Here is a 19,579-nt window from a genome sequence, read left to right as displayed (position 1 = left end):
AAACCAAGTGGAAGGCTAGTAACTTATTGATTGAATCTTTCTTTCTATGTCATTTTAATTCATCTATACTGGACAGTGCAAGGCAAACTATTAAACACCAGCCTTTCATTCATTTAATAATTTCTCTCTTATAATAAACACAGCTTTTCTATTTTATGGCTTTAATTACTGAGTTTGTAGACTCTTGTTCTGTGTAATCGTTTAATAAGATTTAACAGTGTAACACATTTTACTGGAGGAAATATCTGGTATGTTTCTCCTGGCTGTTGAGTTATGAATCCTTAGCTTTGACCTAGGATGCTCTTGATCTTCAGCATGCCTATATTATTGATGAAAGAAGAGTGATGGAAACTCAAACAAGAAGATAAAATGATAGATGACAGATCAATGGCTAACTGAGGATGTACAGTGCTATACGTAAAGAGTTCAATACATGTTGAATAAATGGAAAAAAGTATTTGGGATTTTGGATCTCAGTCCTGTAGAGTGTCCACTCAATTATATTAGGCTTAGTATGGATAAAAGAGAAATCAAGTTTCTCTTTCTGGGAGCTAATTTAAGGAACTAAATAATTTCAGCAGAAAAGAGAACAGTAGTCCACCACTCTGACTTCAGACAATGCCTCACTAAACGACCAATTTTCAGAAACTGTGCACCAGAATTGAGTTTCTTGGATTCTGACATGCATAATCTGACTCATGGAAAATAAAATTTATAATTCTCTATTGTTACATGGAATGCCAAGTATTAGAAGTTTGATTGTATATGTAGGTTTCTATGATAATTATTTCTAGAAATATAGAAATGAATTATTTAATAAATTCAAGTAAAAGTACTTGGGAGAGCAAGAGTTAGACACTTGAACCCAATTAAAATTCTTTCAGGAAATAAATTCAAACTTCCTTTTGGGTTTCCCAACAAACCACAGAATTAAATGATGTTTCAAAGGCTGACTCACATGTGTTCTTTAGTATTTCTAATATAAATATCCTCTAAGCAGATTTGAAAAGTGACTTTTCTCAGGTTGATCAGTGGAACCCTTGAGCCCTTACTGCGTGGAAGTTACCATGTTGGGTTCAGAGGTGCACAAAGATGGAGAAGAAGCTCTGTCTTGAGGAGCTTACCCATTTGCAGGTTTTCTACTGATGAATTACATCTATTTAAGGTAAATTTATTAATAAAATTCTATTCGAGGCAAGCAAGGGCTTACAAAATGAGCATGACACAGGCATTTCCTCCAAGTGTTTAATGTCAAAAGAGAAAGCAGACTTCTGACTACCCAATTATAATATGATATAATCAGAGCTACAGTAGAGATAAAATTGCATGAAGAGAGAAAATAATTCCTATTAAATTAATAGATTTTTTCTTTTCCAAAAGTAAGTTCCCTTCATAATCTAGCACATGTAAAAATTTTGGATAAAATATATTTGACAAATATATTTTTAATGCAATTTTTACTGGCAAGAAAACAAGGGAATTCCTTGAAGGCCAGGAAAAACATTTAAAGGAGATGCAGAAACTGACTTCTGTGGTGTTATGGGCACAAAATTTACATTTAAAAAAATAAACATAGGGCCCGGCATGGTGGCTCATGACTGTAATCCTAGCACTTTGGGAGGCCAAGACAGACAGATCACGAGGTCAGGAGTTCTAGACCAGCCTGGCCAATATGGTGAAACCATGTCTCTACTAAAAAAAAAAAAAAAAGACAAAAATTAGCTGGGCATGGTGGTGAGCACCTGTAGTCCCAGCTACTTGGAAGGCTGAGGTGGAAGAATAGCTTGAACCTGGGAGGTGGAGGTTGCAGTGAGCCAAGATCACACCATTGCACTTCAACCTGGGCAAAACAGCGAGACCCCATCTTGGAAAAAAAAAAAAGGGACATTTCTGAAAATTGATTAAATGTATTAGGCCTTAAAGAATATCTCAAAATTTTCTTAAAAGATTGGTAATATATCTATTATATTTTCTCACTACAATGCAGTTAAGATAGATTACTGAAAATGTCCTATACATTCAGAGAGTTAAAAACACACTTCTAAATAAAAGAAGAATGAATAAAAATTAGGAAATTCTTAGAAATGGATAATAATAAAAATGCTGTATGTCAAAACTGGGATGTAGCTAAGACTGTGCTGCTAGATAAATTTATAGCCTTGGCCGGGTACGGTGGCTCATGCCTGTAATCCCAGCACTTTGGGAGGCTGAGGTGGGTGGATCACAAGGTTAGGAGTTTGAGACCAGGCTGGCCAACATGGCACACTCTGTCTTTACTAAAAATACAAAAAAATTAGCTGGGCGTGGTGGCACACGCCTATAGTTCCAGCTATTCGGGAAGCTGAGGCAGGATAATCCCTTGAACCTGGGAGGCGGAGGTTGCAGTGAGCTGAGGTCATGCCACTGCCCTCCAGCATGGGCAACAGAGCGAGACTCCCTCTCAAAAAAAAAAAAAAATTATAGCCTTAAATTCTTGTATAAAAAATAAGAAAGGCTAAAAAGTATGAGCAAAATACTCAATTTTAGAAGTAAGGGGAAGAAACTCACTGAATAATTCAAAGAAACTTGAAGAGACAAAAATCAATAAAGTAGAAATCAAAGATACAAATGCAAATAGGAAGAAAATTTGTTTTCAAAAGAGTAATAAAAATGGTGCATTTCTGTGAAGATTTATTAAGATGAAAAAGAAGTCACAAACAAATCATATTAACAATTTAACAAGAGAATGTTACTACACATGCGGCATTATGAGATTAGATAAAGGAAAGAAAACAAGTTTATACCAATAAGTTTAAAAACTTCTGAGAGGCCAGGCACGGTGGCTTATGCCTGTAATCCCAGCACTTTGTGGGGCCGAGACGGGCAGATCACTTGAGGTCAGGAGTTCAAGATCAGCCTGGCCAACATGACAAAACCCTGTCTCTACTAAAAATACAAAAATTAGCCAGGCATGATGGCACATCCCTATAATCCCAGCTACTTGGGAGGCTGAGGCACAAGAATCACATGAACCCAGGACTCGGAGGTTGCCGTGAGCTGAGACTGAGCCACTCACTGCACTCCAGCCTGGGCGACTCCGTCTCAGAAACAACAACAACAAAAAAAAACAAAACAACCAACTTCTGAGAAATGGATACATCTCTAGGAAAATAAAAATTATCAAAACTGACTCAAAAAATAAGACAAAACCTGATTAGTGCTATAACCGTTAAAGAAATTGAATTAAAAATTAAAAATCATCTTGTGAGCAAAAATTTGAGCCCAGATTATTATTTTTGAGACAGAGTTTCACTCTTGTTGCCTAGGCTGGAGTGCAATGATACGATCTCGGTTCACTGCAACCTCCACCTCCTGGGTTCAAGCGATTCTCCTGTCTCAGCCTCCTGAGTAGCTGCTATTATAGGTACATGCCACCACACCCAGCTAATTTTTGTATTTTTAGTAGAGACAGGGTTTCATCATATTGGTCAGGTTGATCTTGAACTCCTGACCTCAGGTGATCTGCCCACCTCAGCCTCCCAAAGTACTGGGATTACAGGCATGTGCCACCACCCCCGGCTGAGCCCAGCCTATTTTTATAGGTGAGTTCAAGATATTGGTAATTCCAAACTTAAACTCTTTCAGAGAACAGAGATGAGCTCTCTTCGGTTCCTTTGATGTCTATTATAACCTTGATACCAAAATCAGACAAGAACATTATGAGAAAAGAATTGAAAGCCAACCTGACTGTTTACAATAGAGGCAAAAATCTGAAAGAAAATATCAGCAAACAAAATTTAGCCGTTGTTTAGGGAAAAAAATCATGGCCAAATAAAAAGTCTAGTTTAGCTGATAGGTTAAAGGAGTGTGGGAAGTGGGAGAGAAACATGGGCATCTCTACAATCATAGAAAAAACATTTGATAAAACACACCCGGCCAGGTGTGGTGGCTCATGCCTGTAATCCCAGCACTTTGGGAGGCCGAGGCGGGCTGATCACTTGAGGTCAGGAGTTCGAGACCAGCCTGGCCAACACGGTGAAACCCTGTCTCTACTAAAAATACAAAAATTAGCCGGGCGTGGGGCGGGCATCTGTAGCCCCAGCTACTTGGGAGGCTGAGGCATGAGAATCGCTTGACCCTGGGAGGTGGAGGTTGCAGTGAGCTGAGATCGCGCCACTGCACACCAGCCTGGGTGACAGGGTGAGACACCATCTCAAAAACAAACAAACAAACTAACTAAAAATGCACCCGTTCATGATTTAACAAATCAACAAATCAAACTTCTTGCAATAGAAAGATGATCGCTCTCTTAATTGGAAAAAAGTGAGTCTTGAAATTTTTATTTATTTCTCAGAAATCTGATAGCCAAAAATGAGCTTTCTTCCTCAATAGGAGAAGAAGGAAAGTTGTTAATATTTAAACCATTTTCCCTATTACATATATGTGTGTGCGTTTGTAAAAATATATATAATCCTACAAAGAGACATCTATGGAAGGCAAGTCTTTATTGCACAGTAGTTAAGAACATTAGTTCTGGAGGCAGATTGTTAAATTAAAATTCTAAGATTGTATGATTTGGTACAAATTTCCTAACCTCCTTCCCTGTGCCTTAGTTTTCTCATCTGTAGAATGGGCAAGGACAATAGCACCTACCTCATTGGGTTGTTGTGAAGGTTCAAGAAGTAAATTCATGTGAGGCATGACAGTGTCTGGTAGATTATAAGCACTCAGTATTAGTGGCCATGGTGGTTTTTAAAAATCAGAATGTTAACATGATGATCTTTGAGTAGATTCATGGGTGGTTTTTAAGTTCTTCTTTATATTCTTCTGTATATTCCAAACTTTCACACTATTTTACTTTTATAAAAGGAGGTGTTTCACACACACACACAAACACATATACTCTTTTTCTCTCTCTCAAACACACACACACACAGACACACACCCCTCCACAAAAGCTCAAGGCTTTGATTCGGGTTGACTCATGAACTTCCTGGAAGCTTTGGTTGTGTGCAGAGCATCTCTTCTGAGACTCTGCTCTCGCCTGCCAGGTGGCTCCATGTTTGCTGCTTCTTCTAAGGCAGGACAGGGTAAGCATCGACTCTTAAACACATGTCATCCCCCCCACCCCACAGCAGTCCACTTTGGGCACTAGTGATTTCAGAGTCAAGGGACAGGTTCTTCCTAGACATTTTTAGACATAGATGCATCAGAATCCCTCATGGCACCTCCAAACCAAGGATGTTCAGACTCTTCCACAAAAGACTGTGTTTGGCAGGTTAGAGTGGGCCTTCAGATTGTGATACTGATGGGCACCTGGGTGGTGAACAGCTGCTTTATTCTGTTGTCACTCAACCTTGGTACAGGCAGCTCTGGCTAGTGCATGTCAGGCCTGCAGAACTTCTCAATTAATTTTAAATATGTAGGTAATGCCCACTCTTTCATTCAAAAATGTCTGTTGGTCCAATTGTTCAGGAAATGCTCTAGATGAGAAATTGGGAACACAGAACAAAGTTCTTATTCTCAGAAGTTTAAATTTTTATATAGGGAGGCAGAAAATGAAAATGAACACATTACCACATGATAATTATAGAGTCTATAGTAAGTGCTCTTAAAAGAGAAACAGAATGATATGATAGAGTAACAGGAGGGTAGTCTATAGACGGTGCTGTGGAAAAGCCAGCTGGGCTTGGAGAGAGAAGACTTGGAGGATAAGAGGGAGCAGGCCATGCTCATTGTTGAAGTGAAGATTGTCCAGGCAGAAGCAACAACCAATGCTCTGCAACAGAAAAGAACTCAGGATGTTCAAGGTTAGTGTGTCTGGAACATTCCATGTAAGAGAGAGAGTGGCATATAGAAGATTCTGGAAAGGTAGATGCCTAAGCACTTGTTGTCCAAGCCAAGGATTTTAGGTGTTCTTCTAAGTGCAATAGAAAACCACAGAAGGGTTTAAAATGGGGCAAGGTGAGGTGACATATTCGCTTAAGGGAATTTGTGTTTTCAAAGATCGCTCTAGCTTACATTTGAAGATTGATTGGTAGAAGGTAACTGCAGAATGGAGAAAACCAACAGGAGGCCACTTCAAGAACCTAAGTCAGTGATGGTGACAGCTTGCACGTGGTGGGTAGCAGAGGAGATGATGGAGTGGACTGGTTGAGGGTCCCTTTAGAGGTAGAAGGCAGCTAGGATATTTGTGGCAGATTCATGGATTCTGACTGGCTATGTGACAGATTTAGAACAGGCTATTGGATCAAAAGCCACTGCAGCATCTTTTTCCTGAGAAGATAAATGGCAAAAACGCTGAGTAATCTCTAGGCCTAAAATATAGTTAGTTCCACACAGCACTGAGGTGTCCTGACCTCGCCCAAACCTTTGGGACCTCCCCCTCATGAGGCTCTAGAGTGAATCTTCTTCTTAAAGGCTTATTGTGAACAAAAGCCAACCTGAGTCCAGGTCAGAGTCCGCCTCTCTTTGCAGTCTTATTCTATGTGGCTGTAGTCTTGAATTCCTGCCCAGCCTCCTGGAATCGCTCCAGAGAATCTAGGCTGCATAATGACTAGGGGATGGCGCTTGGGGGAGGGAGTGTAACCGAAGTCTGGGAGAACTGTGAGGGAAAGCAGGATGGAGTTAGCACATCTCACTTCCCCACTTCCTATCAGGAGAAATGGTGAGAGACTGCATGACTCCACAAATTTTCTTTGGGGTATGACATGACAGAACATTATTAATTGCACATCCCTAAAGAAAACATAAGCCCGGGCACAGTGGTTCACGCCTGTAATTCCAGCACTTTGGGAGGCCGAGGCGGGTGGATCACTTGAGGTCCTGAGTTAAAGACCAGCCTGGCCAACATGGTGAAACCCTGTCTCCACAAAAATACAAAAAAAAAAAAAAAAAAGCTGGGCATAATGGTGGGTACTTGTAATTCCAGCTACTCAGGAGGCTGAGGCTGAAGAATAGCTTGAACCTGGGAGGTGGAGGTTGCAGTGAACTGAGATCGCGCCACTGCACTCCAGCCTGGGTGACAGAGCGAGACTCCATCTCAAAAAAAACACAAAAAACAAGAAACAAAACCATCAATAAACCAGTGTGTAAGTCAAGTGACACACCTATTACCCTCAGTTTTATAAGATATTTTTATTTTGTGTGCATTTTAGTAGGTACTTCCAAGAGTATGATCCAAATCCTTTATCTAATCTGCAAAAAAATTTTATAAAGAACTTGGACCGTTATGCTCATGGTACTGAGGGAGGGTCAGGAATACATTTAGAAGCGATTTGAAGATGTGAGAGCTATAGCCATATATTTTTCAGCTTAAAAATATCACACAATAATGTGGATATAAATGCAGTGAGAATGTTAAATATTATGTAAATAACTTATTTAGGCTCTCTTGAAAAGCAAGTTTCAGAACAATACATAACGTATAAGCCATTTCATTAAAAACTTAAAAACGTGGAGTTTCACTGAATCTAACAAGCCATCAAATGTAAGACAGCCCGATTTCAGAAATGTTCATATGTGAAAACATATGTATTTTAAAATCAATAAATGTTTTTATAAAGCTTTTTTATACAATCATTTAAATAAATGTTTTTAAATGCACCATGTGTCAGAACGATATGCTTTAAAACAGTTCAGAGAGAAATATACTTGAAAATGTTAGCAATGTACCCCTGGGAGAGGGGAGCAAGCTGAGATAGATAAAGAGGCCTCCTACATTTTTATTCCATATACTTTTCTATTATTTGATTTTTTTACAACGAGTATGTGCTTAGGTGATTTGTGTGTGCATGTGTGTGCATAGGTATATGTGTAAATGACACCAGTTCATATGAGTAATGTTATATATAGATTTTTTAATCAAAAAAAGTTTGTGTCTGGAACACATAGCCTAGTGGATCTTCATTTTATTAAGCATGACGAGCACATAATTCATGGAAGGCCAGAGAAATGTTCTGTTTGTGCTGCAACTGCACATTCCTACCTGCTGTGAAATAAACCCAACCTTCCTGCTGGGGTCTGTTGATTCAGCTTTGCCATCTGGAGCAATCTCACATTCACAGTCTGAATGGAAAAATGCTGCTTTGGTCAGGGTCTCTGCTGGTAGCCAGGTTTGTGGTATATGGTGTTAATTATATTCTTTCCATAAAATAGCAATGCTCTATGTATGGAGGGGAGCTGAGCACAAGTGACAGCCAAAATTCAGGATAAAGGTAATCCCCTTGCATTTCATCTGGTATCTCACTTGGGAGAAGAGAATCCAGATTCCCGTCAGCAGGCCAAAGGGCTGTGGGCGAGGGAGCACATCGGGCAAGGAAGGCTGTAAAGTCCAGGAAATGGGCTGCCTTATTATTCATGAGTCTTGGTGCTTCTGAGAACATTCTGTACCATGTGCACAGTTGGCTTAGTACAAATTCCAAAGCCATTTTTTTTTATCACTTAGAATCTCATTTTCAGAGTAGGTAGATAAGTAAGTGTATAGTTAAACATTTGTAAACCAATGCATTCCAATGAAATCTACCCATTGGCCATGTGACCAAAGGACATTTTGGTGCTTTAGAGTCACCACAGAAAGCAGCATTTTCCAGCCTACTGGAAAAGAATATTCTTTCACCCATTCATTCATTCATTCAAGAAATAACTTGTTGAGTGCCTACTGCATGACAGGTACTGTGCTAGGAATACACACTGCTCAAAACCGCCAGACACGTTCCTGCCTTTGTAGGGTTTACATTCCGGTAGAGTTGGCAGATGATGAACAAACAAAAAAGAAATAATTACAGATTGTGACAATGCTATGAAGGATATGAATAGGGTGACATGACAGAGTGTAAGTGGGAGTGAGTGAATGGAGCTCTTCATATGGTTTATGAGTAAGTGAAGCTTCCCTGGGGAGCTGTCACTGGAGCTTACTGCTGAAGGGTGACAATCAGCAAAAGCTGTGGGAAGTACCCTTCCCTGGGCATCAGGAGACCTAGGTGTAGGTACCTTGCTGGGATATGGCTTCTGTCTCTGCAGATCTCCTACCCTTTCCATCAATTTCCCCAGAGGCAAACAGCAATGTGTGAATCTAAATAATTACTAATCAGTTAACTGAAGAATAATGACTTTTATGTGATAGTACCTTGTAAACTATAAAGAGTTACCCAATATTACCCGACGTGATCTTCGTAATAGCTCTTCTAGGTAGGCAAGATATGGATTGAAATAAGCTGGATGCTGGCAGTTCTGGCTGCAAAATTTGTGGTACCCAGTGCAGAATTAAAAAGCAGGGCCCCTTGTTAAGAAACGCTTAAGAATTTCAAGATGGCAATGATAGAGCATTAAATCAAGCACAGTGCCGCTGGAGCAAGGACAGGTTGTATGTTCACGGGGCTGGCCTGGATACTGCACTGTCATCAGATTTGTCGGTGGTGTGTATGTGTGTCATTTTTTTTTTGCTGCTTTTATATCCAAGTTACATATTTCTGCAAAATACTAAATTGTCAAATACTATTTTTATTAATGTCACTATACCATTAAGTCTTATTCTGGGAAATCTGGCCCGTTTTTCATTTGGTGTTTTCTACCTCCTTCTTTCAATAATTTAAAAATCTGTGAGCGCACTTAGAAGGCCAATATCTTTGCCAAAAATCTGTAGCAGTCGAGTTGTTTGCTGCAAGTCATCTTGGCAAACAACTTTCATGCGGGAAAGTGCTCTTGTTTCAAAATAGGAACATCTAAATGTGAGTCCTGGTTCTGCCATTTACTATGTGCGTGACCTAGGGTAAATCACTTAGTACCTCTGAAGTTTAGTTTCTTGTACAAAATTGAAGAAATATCCCTTTATATATGTGTCGAGGTTGTTGGTGAGGATTCAGTGAGATCATGAGTGGTCACCTGTAGTGTGTAGCACTCGGAGACAATGACACTTAAGTGGTGTTCTGCCTGATGCCTGGCAGGGGGCACTTTCAGATGGCTTCCATTCATTGTTAATGGCAGGTGTTACCTCTGATTCAGGGGCACATGTTTCTTGCTGGTTATTAAATATTTTGAACTTCATGCTTGAATGGTAGGATTTGTACTACACTGATTTGCAGAAGAATAACAAATTTACCATTCTATTTAGTGTATTAACAACATCTCTATTGGAAAACATGCAATTTTAAAAATTGAGGTGAGATTCACAACATAAGATTATACATATTCCCCAGCTTTACTGAGGTATGATTGACAAAGAAAAATGGTATATATTTAAGGCATATAAAATGATGTTTTGATGTATGTATACATTGAGAAATAATGACGACAATCAAGCTAATTAACATGTCCATCACCAAGCTCAACAGGGCCTTCTTTCCTTGCTGACTCTGCTAAGCCCATTCTCTTGGCTGTGGTTTCCCTGGATGGTAGGCAGGGGTGGTGGGAATCTCATTCATCCATTCATGTGCATCACTAATTAGATGATGAGGCATTTAGCTACCTTAAGACAGTCAAAATTACTCCCACATGTTTACCCACCCTTCATTGAATTTCTTCATGTTGACATTCAGAGCACTGGCGGAAATTGTATTATGTCAATTCACCTGCTACAAACCTTTGTGAAATTAGCCATTGTAAAGTAAACAATTCAGTGGCATTAATACATTCACAGTGTTGTGCAACCATCACTTCTATCTAGTTCCAAAACATTTTTGTCATCTTAAACGAAAGCTTGCACCCATTAGACAGGCATTCCTCATTTTCTCGTCGTCTCAACCCCTGGAAATCATTCATCTGCCTTCTGTCTCTATGGATTTACCTATTCTGAGTATTTCATATAAATGGAATTATACCATATATCTCTCACCTTTTGTGTCTGGTGTCTTTCATTTAACATAATATTTACAAGGTTCATCTGTGCTATGGCATGTATCAGTACTCATTTCTTTTTACAACTGAATAAGTTTCTGCTGCACGATCTTTCTACCACAATTTGTTTATCTATTCATCTGTTGACAGACATTGGGCATTTTCTATCTTTTGGCTATTGTGAACAATGCTGCTTTGAGCATATATGTACATGTATCTGTTGAAACAGAGTAAAATCCTGGGTCATACAGTGATTCTACGTTTAACTTTTTTGCAGAAAAATATATGCAATTTTGAGGCAAAAAGTAATAATATAGATTATCATAAAATATAATAAGAAGAAAACATTTTTATACTTTTTTCACCTTTCTGTCCCAGCTGCCAATTATAGAACTGCTGCTACCTGGAGACTGACCAAAATAGAGAATTTGAACTCCAGAGCCCCCACCTCTGACCAGGAGGCCTCCCAACAGAGAGCTCTAATAAATAAGAGTGCGTGAGATTATAATGCAAGAGTATATGAGCCAAATTGCATTTCGTGTCTCCATCTTCTCCCGTCTATCAAGTGAGCTTGTTGCTTTTAGGAATCCCTGAGTCACTCCAGTGAAGAGAGCTATTAGCTAAGGTTAATTATCATCACTGAAATGTGAGTAAATGAAAGAAAGTGAGTCACGCACTAGTGCGATTTTATGGTGGTTATGAAGAAGGGGCAAATCAAATGTACAAATCTAAACTAGAGGGAACATTGGAGTGGTTGAATCATGGGTCTGAGTGAATATATATTTTATAGAATGTGCTTGTAGATTCTTAACATAATTGTCCCAGTGCTTTACTCAGACTGTTCTCTTCCTGGAAGCCCCGTGGTGACCTCTCTAACCACATTAAGTGAGCCCAAGTGAAGCACCCATTACTGGGAAGACAGGGAAGAAAGAGAGCTGCAAGTTCACATTTCTACTCCAGAGTTTCATCAAGAGCCAGCTCACATCCTGCAACTGACTGTTTTTTCCTACAAGTTATTCATTTAACAAATCTTAGCACAGTACCCTGAGCAAAGGAGCATGCAGACAGTACTTGGGAATGAAGTGAGCAAAGAGAAAAGATGCTGTTTCTCCCAGCTCAGCACCAACCACATTTGCCACAGATGTGTTCTCACTGACTAACCCTAGATGTCCTTCCACCTTATTCACATGTTTGTTTATTCACTTATTTAGTTAATGATTGGTTTCTAAGCTTCTGCAGGCACTATTTTATTTATTTATTTATTTATTTATTTATTTATTTATTTATTTATTTATTTTTGAGACGGAGTCTCGCTCTGTCGCCCAGGCTGGAGTGCAGTGGCATGATCTCGGCTCACTGCAACATCTGTCTCCCGCGTTCAAGTGATTCTCCTGCCTCAGCCTCCCAAGTATCTGGGATTACAGGCACCTGCCACCACACCCAGCTAATTTTTGTATTTTTAGTAGAGATAGGGTTTTGCCATGTTGGTCAGACTGGTCTCGAAGTCCTGACCTCAGGTGATCCACCTGCTTCGGCCTCCCAAAGTGCTGGGATTACAGGCGTGAGCCACCGCACCCACCCTGCAGGCACTATTTAAAGTGTTACATGGAATATAAACATGAATCAGAATGAGCTCTATTCTCTAGGAACTATCAGCATAGATGAGAAGATTGGGCATGGAGGCCTATAGCTTCAGCACAGTTAGAGGGTGCAGGGTGGAGGTGAGAGCATGCACCCTGCCCTAGACTCCCTTGGTGTGAATTCTGTATTACCTCGTCAGAGTTATCTCCCATCTCTACCCCACAGGTTCTTATCTGTAAAATCAGGAAAATAACAGTACCTATCATATGGGATTATTTTGAAGGAAACACTTGAAACAGTGATTGGTAAGTGCTACATAAGAGTTGCCTAAACAAATAAGTGACAACTATCCTAACAGAGAAATAAATGAAGTTCTCTGGAAGTTCAGAGGCAGACTTGTGTTCTGAGAGAGTAGAAAAGGCTCATGACAGAGATAGCATTTGAGCAAGACTTGAAGACTTGGCTTAACTTTCTTCCTTCCTTCCTTCCTTCCTTCCTTCCTTCCTTCCTTCCTTCCTTCCTTCCTTCCTTCCTTCCTTCCTTCCTCCTTTCCTTTCTTTCCTTTCCCTTCCTTTCCTTTCCCTTTTTCTTTCTTTTCCTTTTTCCTCCCTTCCTTCCTTCCTTTCTTTCTTTTTTCTTTTCTTTTTTTTTTTTTTCAGAGTCTTGCGCTGTCACCTAGGCTGGAGTGCAGTGGCACGATCTTGGCTCACTGCAACCTCTGCCTCCCAGGTTCAAGCGATTCTCTTGCCTCAGCCTCCCAAGGCTTGGCTTAACTTTCTATACAACATTCTTTGTTCGTCTGAGTCACTGCTACCAGCATTATTACATAAGTAGGACTTTGCCCAAATTTCTCTGTGCACGTCTATCGGAGTTTAATGTACAACTGGCTTTTTAAACATACGTTCTGAGGACTCCCTGGAAAAGAATTATTTTCTTACACAGGGTTAGTTATTTGTTCTTCTAATAATCAAACTACTATTGCTTGACTTTGGGTAAGTCACTTAGTTTCTCTGAAACTTGGTTCATCCATTTGAAGTAGAAAAGGTCTGAACTCAGTAAGCATTTTGCATTGTGGCCTTTCTTTCTTTCTTTTGTTTTTCCTTTTTGAGATGGAGTTTCGCTCTTGTTGCCCAGGCTGAAGTGCAATGGCATGATCTCGGCTCACTGCAACCTCTGCCTCCTGGGTTCAAGTGATTCTCTTACCTCAGCCTCCTGAGTAGCTGGGGTTACAGGCGCCTGCCACCACACCCAGCTAATTTTTGTATTTTTGTAGAAACGGGGTTTCACCATGTTGGCCAGGCTGGTCTCGAACTCCTGACCTCAGGTGATCCACCCACCTTGGCCTCCCAAAGTGCTGGGATTACAGGTGTGAGCCACTGCGCCTGACTGTGGCCTTTCTTTTTTTAAACCAACTTTAAATTATTGTGATTGTGATTATTAACAATAGTGTTATGAGTTTTAGTCTTGTACTTCATTCACATTGTTTATAAAGAGTTCAATACGAATTATGTAGGACTTAGGCCTGAGTTTTAGTGATTTGTTTCTCTCTGAAGTTTTATATTATATAGTTTTAAAAGGAGCTTTTCAAAATCATTAGACTGCCAAAAATATTTGACCAACAAAATTTACAATGCCTACGCTCACATTTACGAATTCCATCTCTAATCACCCACCCACCCTTCTGTCCGTCTAAATTTCTGCATTCACCTAGTTAGTGAAGAACAACTAGTTTACTGCTGCAGTCAAGTCAGAGTTCATTCTATGAATATGGACATTTATAAAGGGAGTAGATTTTTATTTAGAGATTTGTGACCTAATTTCAATTAGATCCATTACCTAATTTCACTCTGTTTTGTTTATTTCATACTTATAATGGATTCACGTACTTGCATTGCTCAAATAAAAAAATATAATTTTTGTTGGTTTTCTCTGGGCAGGAATCCTTGATGCACTTTGGAGTGTCATTGTCTTCTTTAGTCAGGACAAAGGGCACAGATTGCAGACAACAGACTTCACTGGACCTAGTTTAAGCAGAAAGGGACTTAATTCGAGGAAGGGCAGGAGCAAGATCTGTAGGCTGAGTTTTAAGAAGCCACCACTGAATATACATACCTAGGTAGCTGCTGACTTTAAGATAATAAGAAAGGAAATCATGAAACTGAAATCATAACTGCTGGCTCTAGGAACACTCCACTAGGCTATGATGTGCCTCCTCAAAGTGGATGTTACCCTGTCCCCATCCTCTGCCCCCCAACACCTACAAAGCTGAGGACCAGACATGAGACCTGTATTGTCTTGTCAGGGCTATTGCAGCAAAGTACCACAAATGCCATGGCTTAAAAAACAGAAATGTATCGTCTCATGGTTCTGGAGGCTAGAAGTCCAAGCAAGGTGTCGGCAGGGTTGGTTCCTTCTGAGGGCTGTGAGGGAGTGTCTGTTCTATGACTCTCTCTTAACTTCTGGTGATTTGCTGACAATCTCTGTTTTTTCTTGTCTTGTAGATGCATCTCCCCATTCTCTACTTCCATGTTCACGTGACATTCTCCTTGTGCACATGTCTGTCTCTGCCTGAATTTCCCCTTTTTTTAAGGTCAACAGTCATAGTAGATTAAAGCCCACCCTACTGACTTCATCTTGACTGGTCTATCTGCAAAGACTCTATTCTCAGATAAGGTCATGTTCATAGGTATATGACCTAAGAATTTCTAGGGGGTTAGGATTTCAACAGTTTGGAGGGACGCAATTCAACCGCTGACAGGACCTATGCAACAATCACTGCAGAAAACACAACAAAACTGAGAAATAGCAGAGGTGGCAGAATGGTCTTGACATTGTGATTTTCACCTCTGCCTTCTAAATCTTGTGTGGTTAGATCTGCTTGGTGGAAGGAAGTAGTGCTATAAGAAATCTGATAAATGGCATAAGGGATTCAGCTTTTTGGCCTCTGAGATGCTATAAAATCTGCCACAAGGGGTTGGGAGTGGAGATGGATAGGCTAAAATGGAGTTGGATGAGCCAACCTGTATTATCTTCCACTTAGGAAAGTAGAGAGCTGTAAGAGATGTTGTGAAGGTTAATGAGTCAATGAGTGATAGAGTTAAACAAACAACAGCATGTTGGTAGTGAATTACTGCTCTCTGTCTCAGGATGCAATTAATTAAATCTCCTTTTCAATTGCTGCAAAAAATTTACTCATGGACTAGGAATTGTAAGTACCTAAAAGGCAAGTGATTTAGTCTCTTCTTACCAGCAAGATTATGTTAGGCCCAATATCTTTGAAACCTGTCAGAGCCTAGGAAGAATGTGGTATATACATACAAAGAGAAGACAAAGAAAATAAAGGAAAATCCTGACATGCCCCAGGCTGATTAATAGTGTGTACCACCTAGTCTCCTAAGTTAAACTCTTAAAAACATCTTCAAGCTTCTCTTTCTGTCTCTTCCTAGCCTAATATTTTCATTGCCACAACCTAGAAATTTTGCCTTAAAATAAACCTCGAATTTGACCACCCCACTTTATTCCTGTGGCTATTTTCTGAATGTAGTTCCTCACTGCTTCGAGATAGACATTTGTAATAACCTGGTATTCCCATCTCTAGATTATTTCCCATCTTAGGCCTTCTTTCACCCTACAGCCAGAGTTATTCTTCCTAAAACCCGAATTTGGCTATGTCCAACCCACGTTCCAAGTCACTGCTGTCCTCATTATTGTTACTAATGATCATTGTAGAAGTAAATATTCGTTCTTTTGATTTTGTAATTTTCTGGAACTTTCCCCTAAGCTTCTGCTACCTTTTAACTATTTGCTGGATAGCTCTGCTTAGAAATCCTATGAGTATCTCAAGCCCTGAAGTGACATGTACAAAACTGAATTCTTATTTACTGATTTCCTTTCTGGCCCCACAAACCAAACCAGAAAAAACAAAAACAAACTTCTTTGTCCTCTCATCCTGTAACCTCTTTGTCATCCACCATTTACTACCGTAATGAGGCACATTATCTTTTATTTTACAATGAAACTTCACAGTTTTCAAATCCAGAGTCTAAGTTATTAGCAACCAAATCAATTTGGTTCTTTCCCTGAAGCCAGAAAAATTAGGTCTCAAAATACTAACTGGAGGTGAAATATTCTCATTCCCAAGCTGGGCTTATTAAGCCAGTAAAATAAGTGAAAACCAAATTAATGAAAATGCAAACAAAGAATGTCTCTATTAAATCAGGCTATATAGGGATGAGTGGTTCCAATCCTGTTATTTCTGTGCTCTACAAACTTCAGTGGTTTCTAGTTGCCTATCAAAGTAAATCACCAGGAGGAAATTACAGTTTGAAACTTTAATACCCCAATCGCATAGCCTTAAAATATAAGCAAAAATTCATGGAACTAAAATAAGAAATAGACAAATTCATCATCACAGGGGAAGACTTTTATACTCTTAACTACTGATTTATTTAATGAATCTGTAAATATATACAATGTTTGAATAACAAAAATGAGCATTTATATAACACTGTACTCAATAACCAGAGAATGGAAATTTATTTCAGGCACACATGAAACATTTATGAAAATTTATGATGTTCTAACACTTAAAGCAAGTCTCAATAAATTTTTTAAAGAGGGTCTTCTATAGACCATGCAATTAAATTGAGGGAAAGAGAGAAACTAGATTTCTTAAGGTAAGAAAAACCAAGGACACACTGGCTGAGATGGCAAGGAGGTGGACCACACACCTGGACCCAAAGAGGAAATTTCCTCACTCTTACAGAGACCACAGGCATACTTAAATCTGAAAGTTGGACCAACCAGGTAATCCATACCTGTAAAAGAAGGCTGTGGACAAAAGGGCAGTGAAAAAATGATCCACTTGGAAGAAACTGCTTAGACTTTAAAAACATAATGATAGGCCAGGCATGGTGGCTCATGCCTGTAATCCAAGCACTTGGGAGGCCAAGGCGGGAGGATCACTTGAGCCTAGGAGTTTGAGACCAGCCTGGGCATAGTGAGACCCCATTTCTACAAAAATACAAAAATTAGCTGAGCGCAGTGGTGCATGCCTGTAGTCCCAGCTACTCGGGAGGCTGAGACAGGAGAATCGCTTAAACCTGGGAGGCAGAGGTTGCAGTGAGCTGAGATTGTGCCACTGCACTCCAGCCTGGGTGATGGAAGTGAAACCCTGTCTCGAATAAAATTTTAAAAGTAAAATAAATAAACATAATGATACCTTGTGCAAATCTGATAGATGCACTTGCTAGATTGTTCCACTATGATTAACTTGCACCTCCAAGCCTCCCCAACTTGTTTGGGGCCCTAAACTGCAAGTAGAGTCTGCGTGTATGTGTTTTGGGGTGTGGGTATGAGCGGAGGATGGTTAAGAGTGAAGGAATGACATGCACTAAAGAGAATGAGTAAAAGGCTGGTTAGAAAAATCTCTCTTCATTAAAAAAAATTTCACTCCCAGGCAGTGGCAGCCAAAATAGTACTTAAGAAAATAAACTGGAGATAGAACATCCATTAATGTTGAATGAGTGAGTACATGAGAAAATTCACTGGGAACATACAATGTAATTCTATTGCAATGTCCTGATGGAAAATTTTCACACATTCTCTATCTTCTTCCTCTTCTGGCCTATTACTGTTTATTTTTTGGTTTTGGTTTTTGTCTTTTTTTTTTTTCAAGACTGGGTCTTGCTGTGTTGCCCAGGCTGGAGGGCAGTGGCATGATTATGGCCCACTGCAGCCTCAACCTCCTGGGCTTGAGCAGTCCTCCCATTTCAGCCTCCCCAGAAGCTGAGACTACAGACACACACCAGCATGCCCTGCTAATGGCCTATTATTATTTAAAAGAGAAGAATGGTGTATTCATCAAAACACATATAGAGAAACAATTATGAGAATGTGATTTGGGCTTGAAATACCTCCTTGTGTAAGACTCAGTTTACGCTTCATAACACGAAGGCCACCTCAGAGGCTGCTAGAAATGAAAAGGTCACAGGGTTATCAGTGACGAGGGCATATTTGAGACTTTCTCAGTCCTAGAACTGTTGTTGTTGGTTCTCCTCCTTTTACCTTTAGACCCAGGTTTCTGCAAGTGGCAAAACACCCAGATTCAAAGCCCTGACCTACTTGTCTCTTCAGGGTTCAAGAGACTCTGTTTCCCTCTGGATAACTGGCTAGGGGAGCACACAAACAACTCTCTAGTCAAGTAGACATTCCGCTTCTTTTTTATTAATCTGGGAAAGCATGTTATAATCCCTAAACTGTAAGGCGGTTTAGGTAAACTGTGTTGGTTAATACAGTGTAGACCTGAGGCCAGAGGAGGTCTTCCTATTCCATATTCTGTGAATTGAATACACCAAATGGCAGACACAAACTCGCCCTCCCAGGCACAAGAGTAGAGCTAGCAAAGACAGTGAGAAGGGACTTCCTCTCTGCCTGCAGGGAGGTTCCTCCCAGCTTTCCTTAGGTCTCAGAGGGCCTGCTGATCACAGGAAAGCAAAGAGGAAGGGAAGGGGCGACTTCTCATATCTGACAAACTTTCCATGAGGAAATATGTCCCAGTAAATGTCACATGCTGAGCAATCAGATGAGCCTTGCCTCCTGTGGGAAGCACTGGTAAGGGGGTGCAGAGAGGGAGCAAGCTCTCTTTCCAGTGCTTTCTCATTATTCCAGTGCTTTCTCCATGACTGGCTGCAATGTGTGGAGAAGGAGTCACTGAGTCACTCTGCCGCCTCTGTCAGGCTCAGTTGAGACGAGAGGATTGGAGTTGGCTGGGTGTGAGGGCCACAGTGGCCTGAGAAGCTCCCTATATTCCCAGAGACAGAAGGGGAAGCTTGCATATGCCACGGAGCATCAGTGTGATCCAGGGAATCCTGAGCCACTGCAAGAAAGATATTGCTGCTTGGGGTAACTTGACTGGTTATCCCCCATCTCAGGAAGGACCATGCAGATATTTGTCTTATTGACTGGTTCACTTCTTGTCCATCTGGCAGAGAGGAAGCAAGATGAACTCTTGGCACAATTGATGCTTTTGTCGGGCACTCAGATATTAACCAAAGCAAATTAATTATTACATATTTTCAAGACTAATTATTACATATTTTCAAGTGGACGTGAGCATTTACTGTACCTTAACTCTTGACTTGTGAGGTAACAATCTTAATGAAGACAGCCTATAAACAATAAACCT

General features: G+C 40.1%; 1 long non-coding RNA gene across 2 annotated transcripts in view; it reads left to right on the top strand.

Moving 5' to 3' along the window:
* Positions 1-11,320, top strand: part of LOC101928277 (uncharacterized) — a 205,476-nt gene extending 194,156 nt beyond the window's left edge. For both annotated transcript variants that reach the window (XR_001744364.2, XR_001744363.2), the window contains one exon: positions 11,191-11,320. This is a non-coding gene — a long non-coding RNA (uncharacterized LOC101928277). The remainder of the gene's footprint in view (positions 1-11,190) is intronic.
* The last annotated feature ends 8,259 nt before the right edge of the window (positions 11,321-19,579 follow it).

Source organism: Homo sapiens, chromosome 6, assembly GCF_000001405.40.
Source record: "Homo sapiens chromosome 6, GRCh38.p14 Primary Assembly".
Classification (NCBI taxonomy): Eukaryota; Metazoa; Chordata; class Mammalia; order Primates; family Hominidae; genus Homo; species Homo sapiens.
Note: the sequence above shows the minus strand (reverse complement) of the source record. Positions and strands in the feature narration are given on the sequence as shown.